The 18,399-nt window shown below is 38.7% G+C and overlaps 1 protein-coding gene and 1 long non-coding RNA gene across 2 annotated transcripts in view, besides 4 other annotated features; one reads left to right on the forward strand and one right to left on the reverse strand.

The window, feature by feature from the left end:
* Positions 1–3,211, reverse strand: LOC124900805 (uncharacterized). The gene is made up of 2 exons (XR_007058354.1): positions 3,149–3,211; positions 1–2,883 (listed from the first exon to the last, which is right to left on the reverse strand). It is a non-coding gene; the product is annotated as an uncharacterized LOC124900805 (long non-coding RNA).
* Positions 1,015–1,286: a transcriptional cis regulatory region, noted in NCBI's record as "candidate enhancer chr4.3253 targeted for multiplex CRISPR interference". NCBI's record gives its function as "positively regulates TMA16 gene expression with high confidence in K562 cells {active_cell/tissue: K562}" and the evidence as "EXISTENCE:mutant phenotype evidence [ECO:0000015][PMID:30612741]".
* Positions 2,568–3,470: an enhancer, noted in NCBI's record as "NANOG-H3K27ac-H3K4me1 hESC enhancer chr4:164415733-164416635 (GRCh37/hg19 assembly coordinates)". NCBI's record gives its function as "activates a minimal SCP1, AML or CMV promoter by ChIP-STARR-seq in primed H9 embryonic stem cells {active_cell/tissue: H9 hESC(primed)}" and the evidence as "EXISTENCE:reporter gene assay evidence [ECO:0000049][PMID:30033119]".
* TMA16 (translation machinery associated 16 homolog) overlaps positions 2,677–18,399 on the forward strand; it is a 25,850-nt gene continuing 10,127 nt past the window's right edge. The window contains exons 1-2 of the mRNA NM_018352.3: positions 2,677–2,791; positions 15,020–15,132. Coding sequence (NP_060822.2) covers positions 2,789–2,791; positions 15,020–15,132 — 116 coding nt within the window. The 5' untranslated portion in view covers positions 2,677–2,788. The remainder of the gene's footprint in view (positions 2,792–15,019; positions 15,133–18,399) is intronic.
* Positions 2,934–3,073: an enhancer, noted in NCBI's record as "active region_22100". NCBI's record gives its function as "activates an Ori minimal core promoter by ATAC-STARR-seq in GM12878 lymphoblastoid cells {active_cell/tissue: GM12878}" and the evidence as "EXISTENCE:reporter gene assay evidence [ECO:0000049][PMID:35858748]".
* Positions 3,104–3,253: an enhancer, noted in NCBI's record as "active region_22101". NCBI's record gives its function as "activates an Ori minimal core promoter by ATAC-STARR-seq in GM12878 lymphoblastoid cells {active_cell/tissue: GM12878}" and the evidence as "EXISTENCE:reporter gene assay evidence [ECO:0000049][PMID:35858748]".

Consider the following 18,399-nt stretch of genomic DNA (forward strand, 5'->3'; position numbering starts at 1 on the left):
TTAGCCATCATTATTATCTTTATTCTTGCTCTGTATAATTCATGTTTGTATTTGCTACAGTGTATTTTGAACATATACAGTATATTTTTAACATGTCTATAATCAATGTTATTTAGGGGTTGAATCTGAATGAGGAAAATATGAAGATTTATTTCTAAAACTCAACTAAAAATAAAAAATAAAAGTTTCAAGATATATGGTTTATTGAGTTGTTGGCAATTTGAAGTTTAGGAATGGGTTAGGAGTAGGTAGGAATTTTATGATCAATAGAGCAATCAGTAACAGCTAAAATAGCCAGAAGGAAAATTTAATAATTAAAAGATTTGCAGTAACATAGAACTTAGGAGGGTGATCTCCACAGGGCCAGACTTAGGGAATGGGGTAGGGTGGGTGAAAGATGGCTTCACAGGAAGTGGCTAAAGTATGGAGCTAGGGTGTAAATATTCTAGATTAATTGGAGTCTTTCACAGAGTACCGTCATGTGCATGTAACAATGTTTTGGTCATGGACTGCATTACAATGGTGATCCCATGAGATTATATTTTTACTGTACATTTCTTATGTTTAGATACACAAGTACTTACCATTGTGTTACAATTGCCTACAGTATTCAGTAGAGTAACATGCTGTACAGGTTTGTGGCCTAGGAGCAATGGGCTATACCATACAGCTTAGGTGGGTAGTAAGCTATACCATGCAGGCTTGTGTAAGTGTGCTCTATGATATTCACATGACAAAAAACAAACAACAAAACCCCCATTGAAATATTTCTCAGAAAGTATCCCCGTCCTTAAGTGATGCATGAATGTGCTGCCTCCACAGTATATATTCAAAGGTGACCTTCATTGCATAGATTCACACACAAAAAAAGCCATGTGAAAATACCTTGCCCCTAGATTCAGGAATCTTCTGGACACACTCTTGTTTACAATTTAAATTATTTCCAAAAATTGATATATCTGTCGATTAAATACAAGTATTTGTGCGGCAGGAGAATAGGGTCTGGAAGCAGGGAAGCTAGGACTGATTTGTGCTGATGGGATATCAGTTGAAAGACTACTCCCCTTCAACCCCTCCTTTTTCTGCATGGCAGTTGCTGCCTGGCAGTTGCAAGCCCTTCTTTTTCTGTGTGGCAGTTGAAAAATGAAAGTGCCTCAGATTGGTCCCCTTCCTCAACCAATCAGACTTGTGGAAGACCAATGGGAAACCTCTAGAAGGTATTTAAACCCCAGAAAATTCTGCAACCTGTGCTTTTGAGCAGCTTGCCACAGCCTGCTTCCACGCAGTGGAGTAGTGTACTTTCATTTAAAATAAATCTCTGCTTTCGCTGCCTTGCTTTATTTGTGTGTTTTGTCCAATTATTTGTTCAAAACGCCAAGGACCTAGCCAACTACCCTCAACTGTTAACAGCTGCACACACATATCAAGGCACACCAGCTTCACCCTGCCTGGAGCTTCTTCCCATGCCTAGTTTTCTCTTACAATTCCGGTCTCTGCTCAATTATCACTTCTAAAAGAGGACTTTATAGAGACCACCATGTGTAAAACAGCTTTTCTACATGCCCCCGCCAGCTAATTTTTATTAGAGTACTTATATTATTTGAAATAATATTTTTACATGCCTCCATCCCCTGGAAAATGAGCTGAGTGAGGGATATTGTTGGAGTATCCCCAGTACCAGGCACACAGTAGGCATTCAATAAATAGTTTTTGAATGATTACATTGTCTACGGAATTCTAACATGTATGGGTGAAACAAAGACTCTCACATGCTGTGAGAAGAAAACAAAAACTGGGTTGGCAGAGGCCTTGAATATGAGGAAGTGGCCTTTCCGGATAAAGAAACTAAGACTCGGCCGGGCGTGGTGGCTCAGGCCTGTAATCTCAGCACTTTGGGAGGCCGAGGCGGACGGATCACCTGAGATCAGGAGTTCGAGACCAGCCTGGCCAACACGGCGAAACCCCGTCTCTACTAAAAATACAAAAAAAAAAAAAAAAAAAAAAAATTAGCCGGGCGTGGTGGCGGAGGCCTGTAATTCCAGCTGTTCGGGAGGCTGAGGCAGGAGAATCGCTTGAACCCGGGAGGAAGAAAGAAAGAGGGAATGAGGGAAGGCGGGAAAGAGGGAAAGAAGAAAAGAAAAGAAAGGAAAGAGAAGAGGGGCGGGGCGGGGCAGGGCAGGGCAGGGCAGGGCAGGGCAAAAAAAGACTCAGTGCAGGAAAGGACTTGCCCAAGGTAATCTAGTACGTGGAAAAGCGGAGGGCAGGAGCCTGTGCCGTGCAAGAGCTCCGGGGAGCCAACACCGAGCGGCCCTTTTGAGAGGGTCCCAGCCCCTGAGATGCGGGAGCCCGCAAGAGGGAACCTCTTGTCTGAAGAGGTTGCTGCGCTCTGGAGTCGTGCTCTGGGACAGATGGGCAAGCTCCGCTCTTGGGGCCGGAAGCGTGTAGCGTCTCCACCCGGGCTCCAATCCCCAGCCTCGCACTCAGCACCAGGCAGAGTTCAGCCTCCCGCCGCAAGCTCCCTTCCGCCGCTCCCGGCGAGCACGCAGGTCTGGCTGTCCGTTGGGCTAGAGCTTAAAAGCCCAACACGGGCGAAAAAGACGCGGTCTCAGTTAACGGGGACGCTTTAGAGAAACGCACTCGCCTCTCCTGTTCCGGTTGGGTCGGCGCGGGCTTCTCAGGCGCCACGTGGGATTCGGCCCGGGTGCTCTTGTGAGCTGCTGCTCCTGCGGTTGGTGAGATTACCTGGGTCTAGAGTGCGGAGCTGCTCCGTGGCCACGAGGACGTCACCATGGTGGGCCCCCTCCTGCTCCCCCGAACCGCTCGGTTGGTTCCCCGGAAGGCTCTTGTTGAGCAGGCAGAGAGGGAGGGTGCGGTTTCGGGAACCTAGGAGAGGGGAGGATGCAAAGTGTTTATTTTCAGGGAGTGTGCGGGGTGCGGGGCGAAGCCTCTGGGAGGCGAGTCCCAGGCCCAACGCCTGGACCTTAGAGTTCCGCGTCCGAGTGCTGAAGTGCTCACACGTCGCCTTGCTCCTCTTTGCCTTGTGCCTAACTTCTCGCTAGTCACTACTTCCTGGGGGAAACCCGGCACCTTTCCATTGTAACGCATCGAGGAGTTTGGCAAAACTTCTGAGATCGCTGGCCCTACACACCTCTGCCTCTCTGGCCTGGGTAGACTCAGTATGTGGGCTTAGTCGCCTCTTCCTCGGCGTCCGTTCACCTCTCGTTAGTGCCCTGAATCCTGCCGTTACGCCCCCATTCGCTCCAGGGCACTGAAGCAGTTTTGTTGTTTTTATTAAAAACTGAGTAGATACAAAAGAGTGTTACTAAAGCACATTTCAAGTGTAAAGATGAACAGTTTCAGGAATTCTCGTTTACCCATTTTGTAGTTTTAAGAAATAAAACATAGCCTTTGAAAGCCCTGTGTTACCTTCTTTGAACTTTCAGGAAACCTTAAGAAGCAAACATTATCTAAGTTTTGTATTTATAATTTCACTACTTTTCTTTATAGTTACTACATATATTTGTATTTTGAAACAGTATGTTGTTTCTTGCCTATTTTTTACGTAATCGTTGTGTTCTTGAGAGTAATTCTTGCATAGAAACATGCTTTATAAATTTTTTTCAATTAATTTTTAATAAAAGCAAAATTTTAAAAGTTTATAATCTGGTCAGAAGTTACGATATTGTGTCCACAATGTGGCCTCTTTGTTTCTTTTCATTTTTTTCTCTTTTCATTGTATGCCATTTTTGTCTTACAGTCTGGTTCTTTCGTTGTTTCGCGAGTTTTTTGTGCTTTATTTTGATCCACTGCTGACGCATATTTTGTACTTTAGATTGTACACATTTGTGTAAATTCAGTGTTTGCTTGTCACTTTGCTTGTGGGATTTCCAACTCTTTATAGTGTTAGTTTTTTTCCCCTTTTCAGAGTGGAATATGAAAGCAATTACATCTCATTGTGTTTGAGTGATTGGGGAGATAGATTGGTATTTGACTGTAGTTGTCCTTGACTATCAGAGCTTCACTTTTTATCAGGCTGTATAGTAGAAGTACGTTGCTTTGGCATAGAAGTCAAAAGAGTGGCATATGAACCTGTTTTCATTGGCTCATTTCTGGCTCTGTCATTTTTTTTTGATATAACCTCATTAGTGGTTTTGCTGCATCCTCTTTCAGTACAGCTCAGAATGTGGTCCCAAAGGACAGAGTTGGGCACCTGTCTTTCCCTGAGTTGCCATCTTGGCAAAATTACTTAACCTCCCATCTGTTTAATTGGGATAACAATAGTACCTACCTCATAGAATTGTGGAAATTAAATGTAAAGTGCTTAGTCTAGTGCCTGGCACTTAGTAAATGTTATTGTTATTAACTTTAGTTATATAAATAGTAACAGTGTACAGCTTATAGTTGTTCATCCTTGTTACTTTGCTCATTAATGTTCTCTTATTGTAAATCTTTGCTGGAGCTTAGCAAGTTCATATCTTTATATCAAAATTTAGTTTACCTGTTATATATAAATAATCTTTTCAAATTAATCCATTCCACTCAACACTTCTTTATGCTGCATTAAAAAGGTTTTTAGTGTTTATTATTTTTTATTTTTTTTTGAGACGGTGTTTTGCTCTTGTTGCCCAGGGTGGAGTCCAGTGGCATGATCGCGGCTCATTGCAACCTCCGCCTCCTGGATTCAAGTGATTCTCCTGCCTCAGCCTCCCGAGTAGCTGGGGTTACAGGTGCCAGCCACCACACCCAGCTAATTTTTGTATGTTTAGTAGAGACAGGGTTTCACCACATTGGCCAGGCTGGTCTCGAACCCCTGACCTCAAATGAGACAGGGTTTCACCACACTGGCCAGGCTGGTCTCGAACTCCTGACCTCAAATGATCCACCCGCCTTGGCCTCCCAAAGTGCTGTGATTACAAGTGTGGGCCACCGTGCCCAGCCAGGATTTTAGTATTTTTAAGTATGGCTCATACAATACTACTAGGCACCCATGGGTATACTCCTTTTTATATAAACCTGTCATAGAGCTTGTGTGTGCTTCTTTCCCTCCCTAGCTAGACTATATACCATTGAAAAGTGTGCCATCATCCTCCGTGCATTTATCCATGCACATTACTGTGGGGCATTAGCTGTTACTGACTACCTTAATGGTAGAGATTGTGTGTTTTGGGGACTACATCTATAAATGTGAGCCACAACAACAAATCAGCTTAATACATCTCATAGAGATTATCTGTTAGTGAAAACTTGCTCCTGAAAGTTAGTAAAACTAAAGAAAAACATTAATGGAAATCTACCTAGTATACCAATCTTTTTGAGACAATATTACTTGTACATGGTTTAAAACACTAAAAAATGGTTTCTCATAAAAATTGTATTAGTTTCTTATTAACTGCCATAGTAAAGTGATATGCATTTAGTGGCTTAAAGCAACACATTCATTTCCTGAAACCTCTGGAGGTCAGAAGTTCAAAAATGAGTCTTAACTGAGATAAAATTAAGGTGTTTGTCAGGGCTGTCTTTCTTTAAGGGGCTCTAATGAATTTTTCTGTTTCTAGAGGTCATCTACATTCTTTGGCTCCTTCCCTCTTCAAATCCAGCAGCATGGCATCTTTAAATTTTCCCCCAGAGAAGGTTACATTTTCTCTGACAGTGATCCTCCTGCCTTCCTCTTACATGGACCTTTAGGATTATGTTGGGCCCACCTGGATAATTTTCCCCATCTCAAGATCTTAATCACATCTGCAAGTCCTTTTTGTCATATATGGTAATATATTCCCAGGTTCTGGAGGAATCAGGGCGTGGATATCTTTTGGTCGGAGGAGGGCAGAGCATTATTGCGTCTGCCACAAAAAGACTTTTTCCAGCTCTCTTGCCTAATGCCCTGGTTCACTTGAGAAACAGCCACTGTTAACAGTTTCTTAGCTATCAATTCAGATACTTTATATGTATGTACCAGCATATATGTATGTTCCCTAACCTTTCTTTTTACATAAATGGTATACTGGACACCTTAGTCCCTTGCTTTTTTGTCTTACCTGATCTTATAGATCTATGTAAGTACATATAGATCCACTTCTTGCTTTTTAAACAGTGAATATTCCATTGTTTGCTTCTGTAACTTACTTAACCCGATCTGTGATAGACCTTTAAATTGTTTACATTCTTTTGCTACCACAGACATTGCAATACTGCTGCATTGATTATTTATCCCCCCTTTGGTACACGTGTAAATATGTCTGTAGAATAAATTAATAGAATTTCTTGGTTAAAAGATTTTTTTTTTTTTTTTTTTGAGACAGAGTCTTGCTCTGTCACCCATGCTGTAGTGCAGTGGCGTGATCTCGGCTCACTGCAAGCTCTGCCTCCCGGGTTCACGCCATTCTCCTGCCTCAGCCTCCCGAGTAGCTGGGACTACAGGTGCCCGCCACCACGCCCGGCTAATTTTTTGTATTTTTAGTAGAGACGGGGTTTCACCGTGTTAGCCGGGATGGTCTCGATCTCCTGACCTCATGATCTGCCCGCCTCGGCCTCCCAAAGTGCTGGGATTACAGGCATGAGCCACTGTGCCCGGCTGGTTAAAAGATTTTTGACCAAGAAATTCTATTTCAATTTTTATCTTGATGGGTACTATCTTTATTTTTATTTTATTTTATTAAAAAACTTTTTTTAGAGATGGAGTCTCACTCTGTCACCTAGCGTGGCATGTAGTGGCACACTCATAGCTAGCTCGCTGCAGCCTCAAACTCGGGCTGACGCCTCTGTCTCCCCAGTAGCCAAGATTACGGAGGTACACAGCCTCTCCTGGCTAATTTTTTAGATTTTTTTGTAGAGACAGGGTCTCACTATGTTGTCCAGGCTGGTCTCGAACTTCTGGCTTCAAATGATCTACTCACTTTTGCCTCTCAAAAGTGTTGAGATAGTGGGCAGAAGCCACTGTGTTTAGCCCTGATGGGTACTATCAAATTGCCTTCCAGAAGACTGTACTGGCTTGCACCCCCTTGAACTATAAGATTACTAATACACCCACACCCCCACTAATGCAATGTGAATAATTTTTTCTCTTTGTTAATATTACACATTAATAATTCTATTTCATTGAAGTTTTTGTTTTTAAAGTTTTTCCAGCTTTTAAATAACACTTGTTTTTAGTCTTCCTGTGATTTGTATATATCTTTTGCTGATCTTTTTCATATTAATCTTAAAATAACTTCTTAAGATAATTAACTCTTTTGTTTGTGTTGCAAGTTTTTTGTAGTTTGTTTTTAGCTTGGTTTATGTTTTGAAGTTCAGACTTTTAAGTTTTTATGTAGATTTGTTATTTTAAATCTTCTGAATTTTATATAATGTTTAGAAAGACCTTTCTCTGAGACTCCTCTACAAAAAAATAAGAAAATCTTTTCTTCTGAGATCTGTGTGGTTTCATTTTTTATGCTTAAATGTGTTCTATGAGGAACTTAATTTAGAATACAGAGTGATATACCAAATTTTAAAAAGATTCCTATGCTTTTTATAGTTGTCCCTTGGTATCGAGGGATATTAGTTGAGGACACACTCGAATACCTAAATCCATGGATGCTCAGGTCCCTTATATAAAATGGTGTCGTTTTTGCGTGTAGCCTGTGCATATTCTCCTGTATACTTTAAGTCATACTTAACCATACCTATTACAATGTAAACGCTGTATAGTGATTATATTGTTTTTTAAATTTTTATTATTTTTATTGTTATATTATTATTTTTTATTTATTTTTCTGAATATTTTCTGTCCTCTGTTGGTAGAATACCCAGATGTGAAGCCTGGAGGGCCAACTGAATTTATTTACATTTTTTGAGTGCTTGAAATAGTTAATGCTAATCTAAAACTTGAACACACAGCAAATGTTACAAATAAATAAGTAGCTCAGCTAAGCCTTTGTGACCTAAAGGATGAATTATTACCAAATGTTATTTTTTGTCTTACTTTGTTACATAATATACACTTTAAGGAATTTTCTTTTTTGTGCGTGTGTGACATCTGCTTTATGTTCAGCACTTGAAACCTAGGCTTGCTAAGTAGTGACTATTTTCTAAATCACTGCTAAATCTAATCCAAAAGTACATTTGGAGATCCCAAAACTGACTTATGAAGGCTTATAAATGAAATATCCTAATTTAAATACTTAAGAAACGTATAGTTTATTTATCCATTCTTTCTTTCTTTTTTTTTTTTTTTTTTGAGTAGGAGTCTTGCTCTGTCACCCAGGCTGGAGTATGGTGGTGCTATCTCAGCTCACTGCAACCTCTGCCTCCAAGGTTCAAGCAATTCTCCAGTCTCAGCCTCCCAAATAGCTGGGATTATAAGCGTGCACCACCACGCCTGGCTAATTTTTGTATTTTTAGTAGAGACGGGATTTCACCATGTTGGCCAGGCTGGTCTTGAACTCTTGACCTCAAGCAGTCTGCCTGCCTCAGCTTCCCAAAGTGCTGGGGTTACAGGCTTGAGCCACTGTGTCCGGCCCCATTATTTATTACTTGATAAGGGTTTTTGAAAGCTGTATGTCTGTTGGGGTGGTCATGGTGGTTGGTGGATTGACTCAAACAAGACAGTGCCTTCTTTCTTGCTGTATAACTTTGTCAGTGAAAAAGAATGCCTCTGACAGGGACTGGCACAGAGTTTTTGTTCATCTAAGTGTATAGGTAATCTATTCGCCTGCTCCTTTTCAGGGCCAGGCCAACAAGAAAATCTGTTTCTCCCAGGAGCAATTAATTTAGGTAGAAATACAGTAAACCTGTCAAACTGATTTAGCTACAATCTTGTTTTTCACTTCTTATAAAAGACCCAGGAATGAGAAGGATAAACATGAATTTGTGCTAGAATTCCAGTGGCTGTATGCCTGTACTATGTGTTAGAAAAGATAGAAGGCAAGTACTATTGTATTTAAGTTGGAAAAACTGATCTATTTTGTGTGTGACCTGGCAAAAGTTTTTCAAAATGCTTTTGTTTCAAAGTTTTATTCAGTCAGAAGGAAATTTTAAATGAGGTAAACATTTTTATTTTTATTGTAGAATTGTGTCACTAAAATTGATCAGGCCAGTCACCTTTATTTCTTTATTGCCTCCCATCTGAATATTCTTGGGAGACTATGCTTACTGTTATCTCTGGAAAGAACTAGTCCTTCCTTCATAGTTATATCTTTGTTTCATTATGATCCCAAATATTCTGGTCTTTGATAGAAGTCTCACTTAGTGACATATTAATTTCCTGTGTTATTATTCTGGGTAGACCTAAATGGGGTTGCGTGTGAGATGAGTTTAAACCACGCTACTTCTTTCTTAGTACGTTTATTGTCTACTTTTACAGGAGTAAAAACAATTATAATATGTGACCTCTTCTCTTTAAACTCTTCTTTCAAACTTTGGTTAGGCCATTCTGACTGAAGTTAAAGAGAGTTAAAACCAGTCTGTTTATGTGTCTCTTTCTACAGCTTATTTTAATGCTTCTCTTTTCATTTGCTATTTAGGTTTGCTAGTTCTCATCATTTTGCCATTAAAAAGTACCAGTATGCAAGGCAATCATTTTTCAACTTGTTGATTTTAGATGTTGTTTCGTTGCAAAGAGTGTTTGATTATCTGTATCCAGAGATATACAGTGATGCAAGTGTTTGTTGACATTGGATCAAAATCTGTACTTAACAGTATTATTTCATATTCTCTCTTTTGTTCTGGGAGCAAGGAGGATATTTTGATTTGATTTTCTGATTTAAACATTAACTTCCACATTAATTAGGTGGTAGGCTTATTTTGTAGCCTGGAAATTGAGAAATGTTTAGTAAATTTCTTGATTTTTAGATCTCAGGTTACTTTCTCAGGGAGGCCTTTCCTTACTTCCCAAAGTGAGTCAGGACCCTATGCTTTTGATCCATTTTCTAGCCAGCACTTACTAAGTTAGCTATTCCTGAGAAAACTAGATTGTAAACTCCATGAAGGCAAGTTCATGTCAGTTTTTGATCTGGAAGCCTCAGTGCTTATCCTAGTACATGGTATATTTAGTGTGTGCTCAGTAATTAAAAATATGTATATATTAATATGAGGTTGCGGTGTAAAGAGTGGCAGTAGAGAATCTGGGAGAAGTTTATTCTGACTAGACGTTAGTAGGTAAGTTTGGAATAACATAAGTTGAGCTAGATATTAGAATCTAAAATGAAGATAAAATTAAAGTCTGCATTAGAGAATTATTAAGATATTCTTTTAATGTTAAGGAAGGCACCATCATGAGCTATTTTATAAATTACTTTTATATTTGATACCTCACACTATTTTAAAGAACATACTTAATATTTTTAATTCATAGTAGCCCATTGTACAGTACAAAGTGGATGCTCAGTAAATGCTCACTCAGGGCAGCATCCCACTTTCTTTACTTCTCTCAAACTGTGATTTGCAACCTCAGGACATATTTGCAGTCTCAAATGAGCTGCTATTAAGGAAATAACACACAAATGTACAATTAATGCTGAGCAGTGCAGTACATTATTAGGTGCTAAATGGTAAATGCTACCAAGAGGGAAAGGCTACTGAGATATGAAATTATTCTTGGATCCCTTCAAGGAGCAGTTGAACTTGACCTTTAAGTGGTCTTCGAAGATTGGGTGGGGTTTAGAAAGGCTTATGTATGGAACTATTAAAGTCTTCTTGGAAGCGCTAATTAATTATTTGTCATTGACACGTGTCATTGCATCATATTTATGTGTTAAGGAAGGAAGATGCACTAGGGCTCACTGGTGCATTTCACTACTATCTTTGCAGTGAAGATTCACTGCAAAAAAAGTGTAGATTTGCTTAGTCCATCATTTCGATCATGTCACTGGTGTAAAATTGGTACATCATTTACTGTAATTTACCGTCATTCACGGCATAATGACATTTTGGTCATCAGTGGGCCACATATATGATGATGGTCCCATAAGATTATAATACTGTATTTTCACTTTACCTTTTCTATGTTTAGACATGTTTAGATACACAAATACTTACCTTTGTGTTACAGTTGCCTACAGTATTCAGTACAGTAACGTCCTGGACAGGTTTAAAGCCTAGGAGCAATAGGCTATGCCATAGAGCCTGTGTGTATAGTAGGCTATACCATCCAGGTTTGTGTAAGTACACTTTATATTTCCATAAAAAGGAAATCACCTACTGACTCGTTTCCCAGAAAGTATCCCTGTTAAGTGAGGCATGCCTGTATTTTTATGTTTAAGGGTATTATGATGTTTACAGTATTGCACTCTAAGCTTTCTCAGTTGTAGGCATGGGTTTGGTCTTAAACTTTAAAAAAAAAATGTATTTACGTACACTTTGTGGACCTCAAGTGTGTTTGCTGAAATGATCACTCCTTTATGTCTCTTGTTTCACTGAGTAGTCTAAATGGCACTTCTGTCTCTAGTTGAGCCTAGACTGCGGCTCAACTTGATGGTCTTTTAGGCAAAGTTCCTTTTTGTTACTTATGATTTTAACAGGAATATTTAAAGCGTATTGCCCCTAAAATAACTCTATTATGTCGTTTTGAATAAACTATGTGTTTTTTTGTTACTTCTAGTTATGAATCCAAAGAGAATAGACTTTCAGACTGAATTTTTTGAATTAGTCACTGAAGAGTGTAGGGAAGAGATACTTTTAATGCAGGTTTTCTAACTGGACTATTTCTGTGGTGCCAGAGTCTTTTCATAGGCATAGATATTCAAAATGGTCTGTTAGTTATTTTATGATAGAGTTTTACTTTAGTTTTTCCCTGTTGAAACATTTTTTTCCAAATTTTAATGTATTGAAAAATATGAAAGTTTTAAAATATAGTAAATTTTATTGTACATATTTCTGTGTCTCACTGTATATTCATATCCTGCCTTGAGGCAACCTTTTCATGAATAAATTATTATAAGGAATCATAACTTACAGTTGAGTCAAAAAATAAGTTAATTTCTTTGTACCTTCTTTGTACTAAGTCTTGAAGGTTCTTTAGCCAAGATCGTATAAAGCTATGAGGACGTTTTTATATTCAAGGGGTATCAAACTTCTTTTCCCTAAAGAAAGTTTTTGAGTCTTTAAAGGACATTTTTTGTAGTTTTGAACATATTGCTGGAACTTCATGGCTATGCATTTTCAGTTTTAGCAGCTTCAGAGACTTTATATTTTCTTCCCTGGGATTTTTGTGAATTTTTAAAATATTGTTAAGCATTTTTTAATAATGATATGTGGGATCAGATCTCTTTTCACAGGATGCATCTTTGCTTTGGTTTTTTGGTCTTGCATTAGTCATTTATTCCTGTGTAACAAGATATCCTAAAATTTGATGGCTTAAACCAATATTTATGATCTCTCCCTTTCTTTGGGTCAGGAATCAGGCATGGCTTACTGGTCTCCTCTCCCTCAAGGTTTCTCACAAGGTTGCAGTGAAAGTATTACTTGGGGGTGTGATTTCAAGGCACAGCTGCGGAGAGTCTACTTCTTTTTGTTGTTGTTTTGTTTTGAGGCAGAGTCTGACCCTGTTGCCCAGGCTAGAGTGCAGTGGTGCCATCTATGCTCGCTGCAGTCTCCACCTCCGTAGTTCAAGCTATCCTCCCACCTCAGCCTCTTGAATAGATGGGATTACAGGCATGTGTCACCACACCCAGCACATTTTTATATTTTTAGTAGAGATGGAGTTTTGCTATGTTGGCCAGGCTGGACTTGAACTCCAGGCCACAAGTGATTCCACCTGCCTCAGCCTCCCAGAGTGCTGGGATTACAGGCATGAGCCACCATGCTTGGCTGAGGATCTGCCTCTAAGCTTGCTGTTGGTAGGATTGTTAAGCTGGTTCTTGGTAGGATTCAGCTCCTCGTGGACTGTTGAACTGCAGGCCTCACTTCTTCACTAGCTGTTGTCTGGAGGCCTCCCTCAGTTATTTGTCATGTGGCCCCTCCATATGGCAGCTCACTACAGGACAGCTGGTTTCCATGAGAGGGGGAAAGATGGAAGCCAGACTTCTTTGATAACCTAATCTCAGAATTGGCATTTCATTGCTTTTGCTAAATGCTCTTCATTAAAAGTGAGTCGGTAGGTCCAGCCCACATTCAAAAGGAGGGGATTCCATAAGGGCATGAGGATCAGGAGGTGGGGTTTATTGGGTCCATCTTAGAGGCAGCCTGCCAAATGTCCTGAAAGTTTTTACTTGATTCATGTTTGCTAGGTACTTTAATCTCAAAAATTCCTCATTACACCTGCCTTTCTCCTCTGCACTTGCCATGTGAGCAGAGAGATACATAAAAGAGTACATATACTCTTATATGATGGTTCTACATATTTTCCTATACCTGTAACCAACTTCCAGTGATACCTTAAGATTCAGATGTGGATATATCTTCTCAGGTTTATCAGAAAGCGAGCAGAGCGCTCAATGAGTGTTGAAAGAATGAATATATTTGTGAATGAGGAATTTGTGGTTATTTTAAATAGTTCTGCCTAGTTTTACAAAGGAAGTAATTTTGAACTGCATCTTATCAAAGGGCAAGTAAAGTATTTTGCAGGCAGAGGTAATAACAAGTGCAGTCTCAAGAAGTTATGAAATAGCTTGGTATGTTCTGGAATGGTGAGAAGTTCAGTAAGAATGGCGTGAAGAATCTTTTATAGAGGAGCATGGGAAATAATGGTGGAGAAGCAGGTTGGGGCTAGATTGTTTCTGTGCTAAAGACTTGGGACCTAACTGTGAGCTAGTAGAGCACTTTAAGCAGGGGAGAGGGACTTTACTATATTAGTGTTTTATGAAGACAAGCTCTGTAGCTTTGCCGAAGAAAGGACTAGTGGGGAGAATCTAAAGACTATCCTGATTATGAAAGATTCTGAGGATTGAATTAAGCAATTGACAATAATTTTGAAGAAGAGTGTAAAGCCACTTGGCCTTTTTCTGGAATAGGTATGTTGGAGACTGCCAGCTGTCCCCTAATGTATTCTTTCTGTTTTTCTATATGAATGGATCTTTTTCTCACAGAATAAGGATTATATTTACTACTCTCCCTTATGTAACACTGTGAATAAATTTTGGTCAGTGGGATGTGAGCAAAAGGATCTGCAACTTCCCAGGTCATGCTCTTAAAAAAAGGGGATGTACCTTCAGATTTTTCTTTTCCTACTTCATACTGGCTTGAGTGTAGACCTGGTATTAGGCTGTCTTGAACTAGATAGGAGGTATAGCCTGAGGCTAGTAGACAAAAAAATGGAAGGATCCTGGATCCCTAAGGGCTTTGTGGAACAGAACCTTCAGCTCCTACTTTTAACAATAAAGAACCAAACTTAAGCTGGGTTATGCCATTATTTGGGGTTTTTATTACAGAGAGCCAAATATGATTCCTAGATCATTATAGGTGAGGTAAGATACAGGATTATGTAGGAATAAAAGAAACCTGAGATGTCTAGTTTGGAGGACCTAATGAATTGTGGGCTGATTAACTGGCATAAGGCTTCAGTGGGAAAATGATACATTTTTCCTTTTGGATATACTAATTTTGAGATGGCTTCTATTATTTTCTCTATTCCTAATTTGTACAGGCAATGAGCCCAGCTTTGATTTTGCATGATTCATTGCCCGCTTTGTTCCATGTGAAACATCTACAATCAAGCCCCTACTAATAATCCAAGTCCCTTCTGACCCCTTAATTTTCTTAACTGTAACAAATTTCTGGCTGTGAGTCTCCTCACTATCTGTAGTCCCTGTATCTTCTTTGAAGATAGAACATGTTGTTGAAGAGCTGAGTTTATTGACTCCTTCTGTGCCTTTCTTCTGTCATTGGAGAGCACCTCTGAATATATCGTTTCTGTCATTACCATGGCAACAGATTATTAGAATTATTTAATGATCCTGGCTTATCTCCTGATTTTTCTTGTAATAGTTTTAGCTTACTGTATTTCTGTCATATTACTGTTTTTAAAATTTATTTGTAAAGAATATTTTTGGGACTGAAGGCACTTACATATCTGACTATATGTGTCATGTGTTTTCATACATTTTAGCCCAAAGCACCAAAGGGAAAAAGTGCAGGACGGGAAAAAAAAGTCATCCATCCATATAGTAGAAAAGCAGCTCAAATTACGAGAGAGGCCCACAAACAAGAAAAAAAGGAAAAGTAAGTATCTTTTCATCATTTGTATTACTCGTTGGTAAAAAGCCCCTTTATACTTTTATCTTTCAAACATATATCCTTTCACAGTATTGTCTCCCTTTCATAAATATTTATTAAGTGTGTTCTGTATGCAGAGGGTGAAACTGAACAAGGACTCTACTCTTTTAGAGCTTACCTAAAACAGATAAGTAATTTATGTAGCAGTAGGTGATGAGTGCCATGAAAAATTTAAAAAGTTATGGGATGGACAGTGAGGGAGAAGTTGTTTTACGTGGGATAGTCATGGAAGCCTTCTCTGAAGAAGTTACATTTGAACAGAGAGTTGAAAAATGTGAGGTCTGTATATAAGGCATGTAGGTTAAAGTGCCCATGAGACATGTAAGAGGAGATATGGAATGGATAGTTAGATATGTTGAGTCTAGTGTTCAGAGAATAGGTTAGGGGTATTGACACAAATTTGGGAGCGATCAGCATCCATGTGGGATTTCAAGCCGTGAGACTGGATAGGATCAGTTCACCTAAGGAGTAACTGTTGACAGGAAAGAGAAGAGAGCCAATTACTGAGTTCAGTGGCCCTCTACCATTTAGAGGTTAGGAAAAGAAGGAGCATTCCACAAGTGAGACTGAGAAGGAGGAGAAAGAAGGCTGTTTCAAAGATTCCTTAAAATGAAGTGAAGTTCAAATAAACATCATCGTTTTGACTATTTTAGAATGCCCTTGCCATTTTCATGAATGTTAGATACATTTGCATACCAGATAATGGAAGCCAGTATATTTTTAAATGTTGATTCTTTGCTTAAGATAAGCTTTATATAGTAAAGGTTACCTGTTTCACAGTGATTTGGCTAGAAGGAAATAAGTGTTGTGATAGCAGAGTCAAATTTTCTTTATTTTCTGCAGGGTAGTTTTTTATTTTTTTCAACATAAAGATTTACTGTGATGATAGCAGTTTTGCTTTAGCACAGTAGTTTTCAAACTTCAGCTATTTATGCATCACTTTTATGATTTTTGCTGTATCTTTTTAATATGATTTATTAGTACTGTGATTTTGCAGTTTCTGCTCTCATATATATCAGTATTTTGCAAACTTAAGTACATGAAATACATCTGTAGAACTTATTAAAACTGTTTGTTCCAACCCCTAGAATTTTCTATTCTGAAGGTTTGGGTTTCTGGCTTAAGGGTTTCCACTTCCAACAAGTCTCCAGGTAATGCTGGTGCTGTTGCTGCTGGTTTAGGGACCACACTATGAGAATCACTGACCTATACTATTATTTATTTTCCCTTAAGTACCATTTTTTAAAAAGGAGATATTTTTTCTCTCTTAAAATCAAATAGATACTATTACCTGCTGTAAATGGTCTGAGGCTGAGACATAACTTTTGTATATGTTTGGTGAAAAGATCTGGTGAAGGTTGGAAGACTGGTAAAACAAACCCACACTTTTGTCCTTAATGTAAAGTGAAAGGATCAAAAGAAAATGGAGGAAGGGGAAGCAACGTGCTTACCATTTTATTAAAGATTGTTTAATTCTGTGTCTATGAACTGCTTACCTTACATATAGTACCAGTGGTATGATATGCAATATTTTAGCAAGTAACTGCTTTAGAATATGATTAAGTACTTGGTTCACTGTCATTGTGACCGTGAGCCTACAATGTTTGTATGTTGTCAGGTATATTCAGCATGTTGTGTATTGATTTACAGAATTAGCGTTATAGAAAAATTATGGAAGAATAAAACAGAACAACATGCTAATCTGATATGTATATATTGTCCTAAGAAAATTCTGTTTATTGGCCAAGACTTTTATTTTAGTAATGCAGAGTAGAAAGCACTTAATTTTTCTGCTTAGACAATGTTCTAAATAGATTGGATTTTTTCCCTTTTTAAAATTTATTTTCAAAAAGTCACTCTCTTAGTAGTCATGGCTCTAGAACCAAATATACAATTTTAATAGTACTTAACATTATTTTATGTTATGAAATCATAGGCTTAGGCCACTATAGATGTCAGTTTTTTGAGTAGCAGCATCAGTAACCACGAGTCATACTTAACTTTAAATGGGAATGTGGTCACAAAAGGCACGTTGAAACGCTGCTGATTCCCTGCCCCATTTCAAAAGATGATTGGTGACAAGATACCCAGATGGTTGGGACAACTTTAAGCAAGGTGATTGAAGAAGGTACCAACAGGACAACTTGAACTTGGGTACCTGTGGCTTCTTAGAAATGAATAGCAGTTACCAGATGTTGTTTTAGTAACTGTTGCTGCATAAGAAATTCTGCTACAATTTAGCAGCTTAAAACAAACACAGTTTCTGGATCAGGTAGGAATCCCGTTGCCACTTAACTGGGTGTTTCTGACCCAGCATCTTTCACAAGCCTGCAGCTAAGCTGTTGTCTGGGACTGCATTCATCTCAGAGCTTGCTAGGGAGAATTTCTGCTTCCAAGCTTCCTCACATGGCTGTTGGCAGACCTCAGAAAAGATACTGTAGGAGTGGATAACAATGCTAGAGTAAAAGTTCAAGCATATTCTTTATCTTCAACATTTGAAAAGCTCTGATTTAGGACTGTATGACAGGAACTAGGATGGTTTGAAGACTAGCACATTCCCGACAATGAACAATTTACAAGCAGCAAGTGGCTCTTTGATATGATGTGATTTTTGTTTTATGATTTCACAGTATAGCAACATTTTGGCAAATAATTCTAGATAGCAAATGAAAATGACTCCTAATGGAAGATTAACAAAGGAAACTAAGCATGATGGGTAAGAATCTCAGAAACAACTACCTTTGAGAATTAATCTTATTGATTCTCTTTAAAACTCATGTTTACATATTGTTTTAAGAATTTTTTCATATTTACATGCAAGTACTGTTTTAAATAATTCTCACATCTCTCTACTTTTCTTCATTCCAGCTGATACCACTGTAAGTTCAGGTTCCCACTGAGTCCATTCAGAATTATTGCAACTTGACTTCTAACTAGATTCTTCCCTCCAGCCTTATTTAAAAGGAAGAAATTCCCCTCAGAGCCATTCTCCAACTTTTTATGAAGTGTTCTTTGTTTTTTAAGATCAACTTTGGGGTATAATTAATATATAATAAAGCGAACACATTTTAAGTGTAGTTTTTGGGTTTTGACAATTGTATACATTGGTGTAGCCACCCTGATCAGTATGTAGTATACAATTTCATCTTCCTAGAAAATTCCCTTGTGTATCTTCCCAGTCAGTCCTCACCCTCTACCCCTAGCCTCGGGCAG

Source organism: Homo sapiens, chromosome 4 (genome assembly GCF_000001405.40).
Source record: "Homo sapiens chromosome 4, GRCh38.p14 Primary Assembly".
Lineage (NCBI taxonomy): Eukaryota > Metazoa > Chordata > Mammalia > Primates > Hominidae > Homo > Homo sapiens.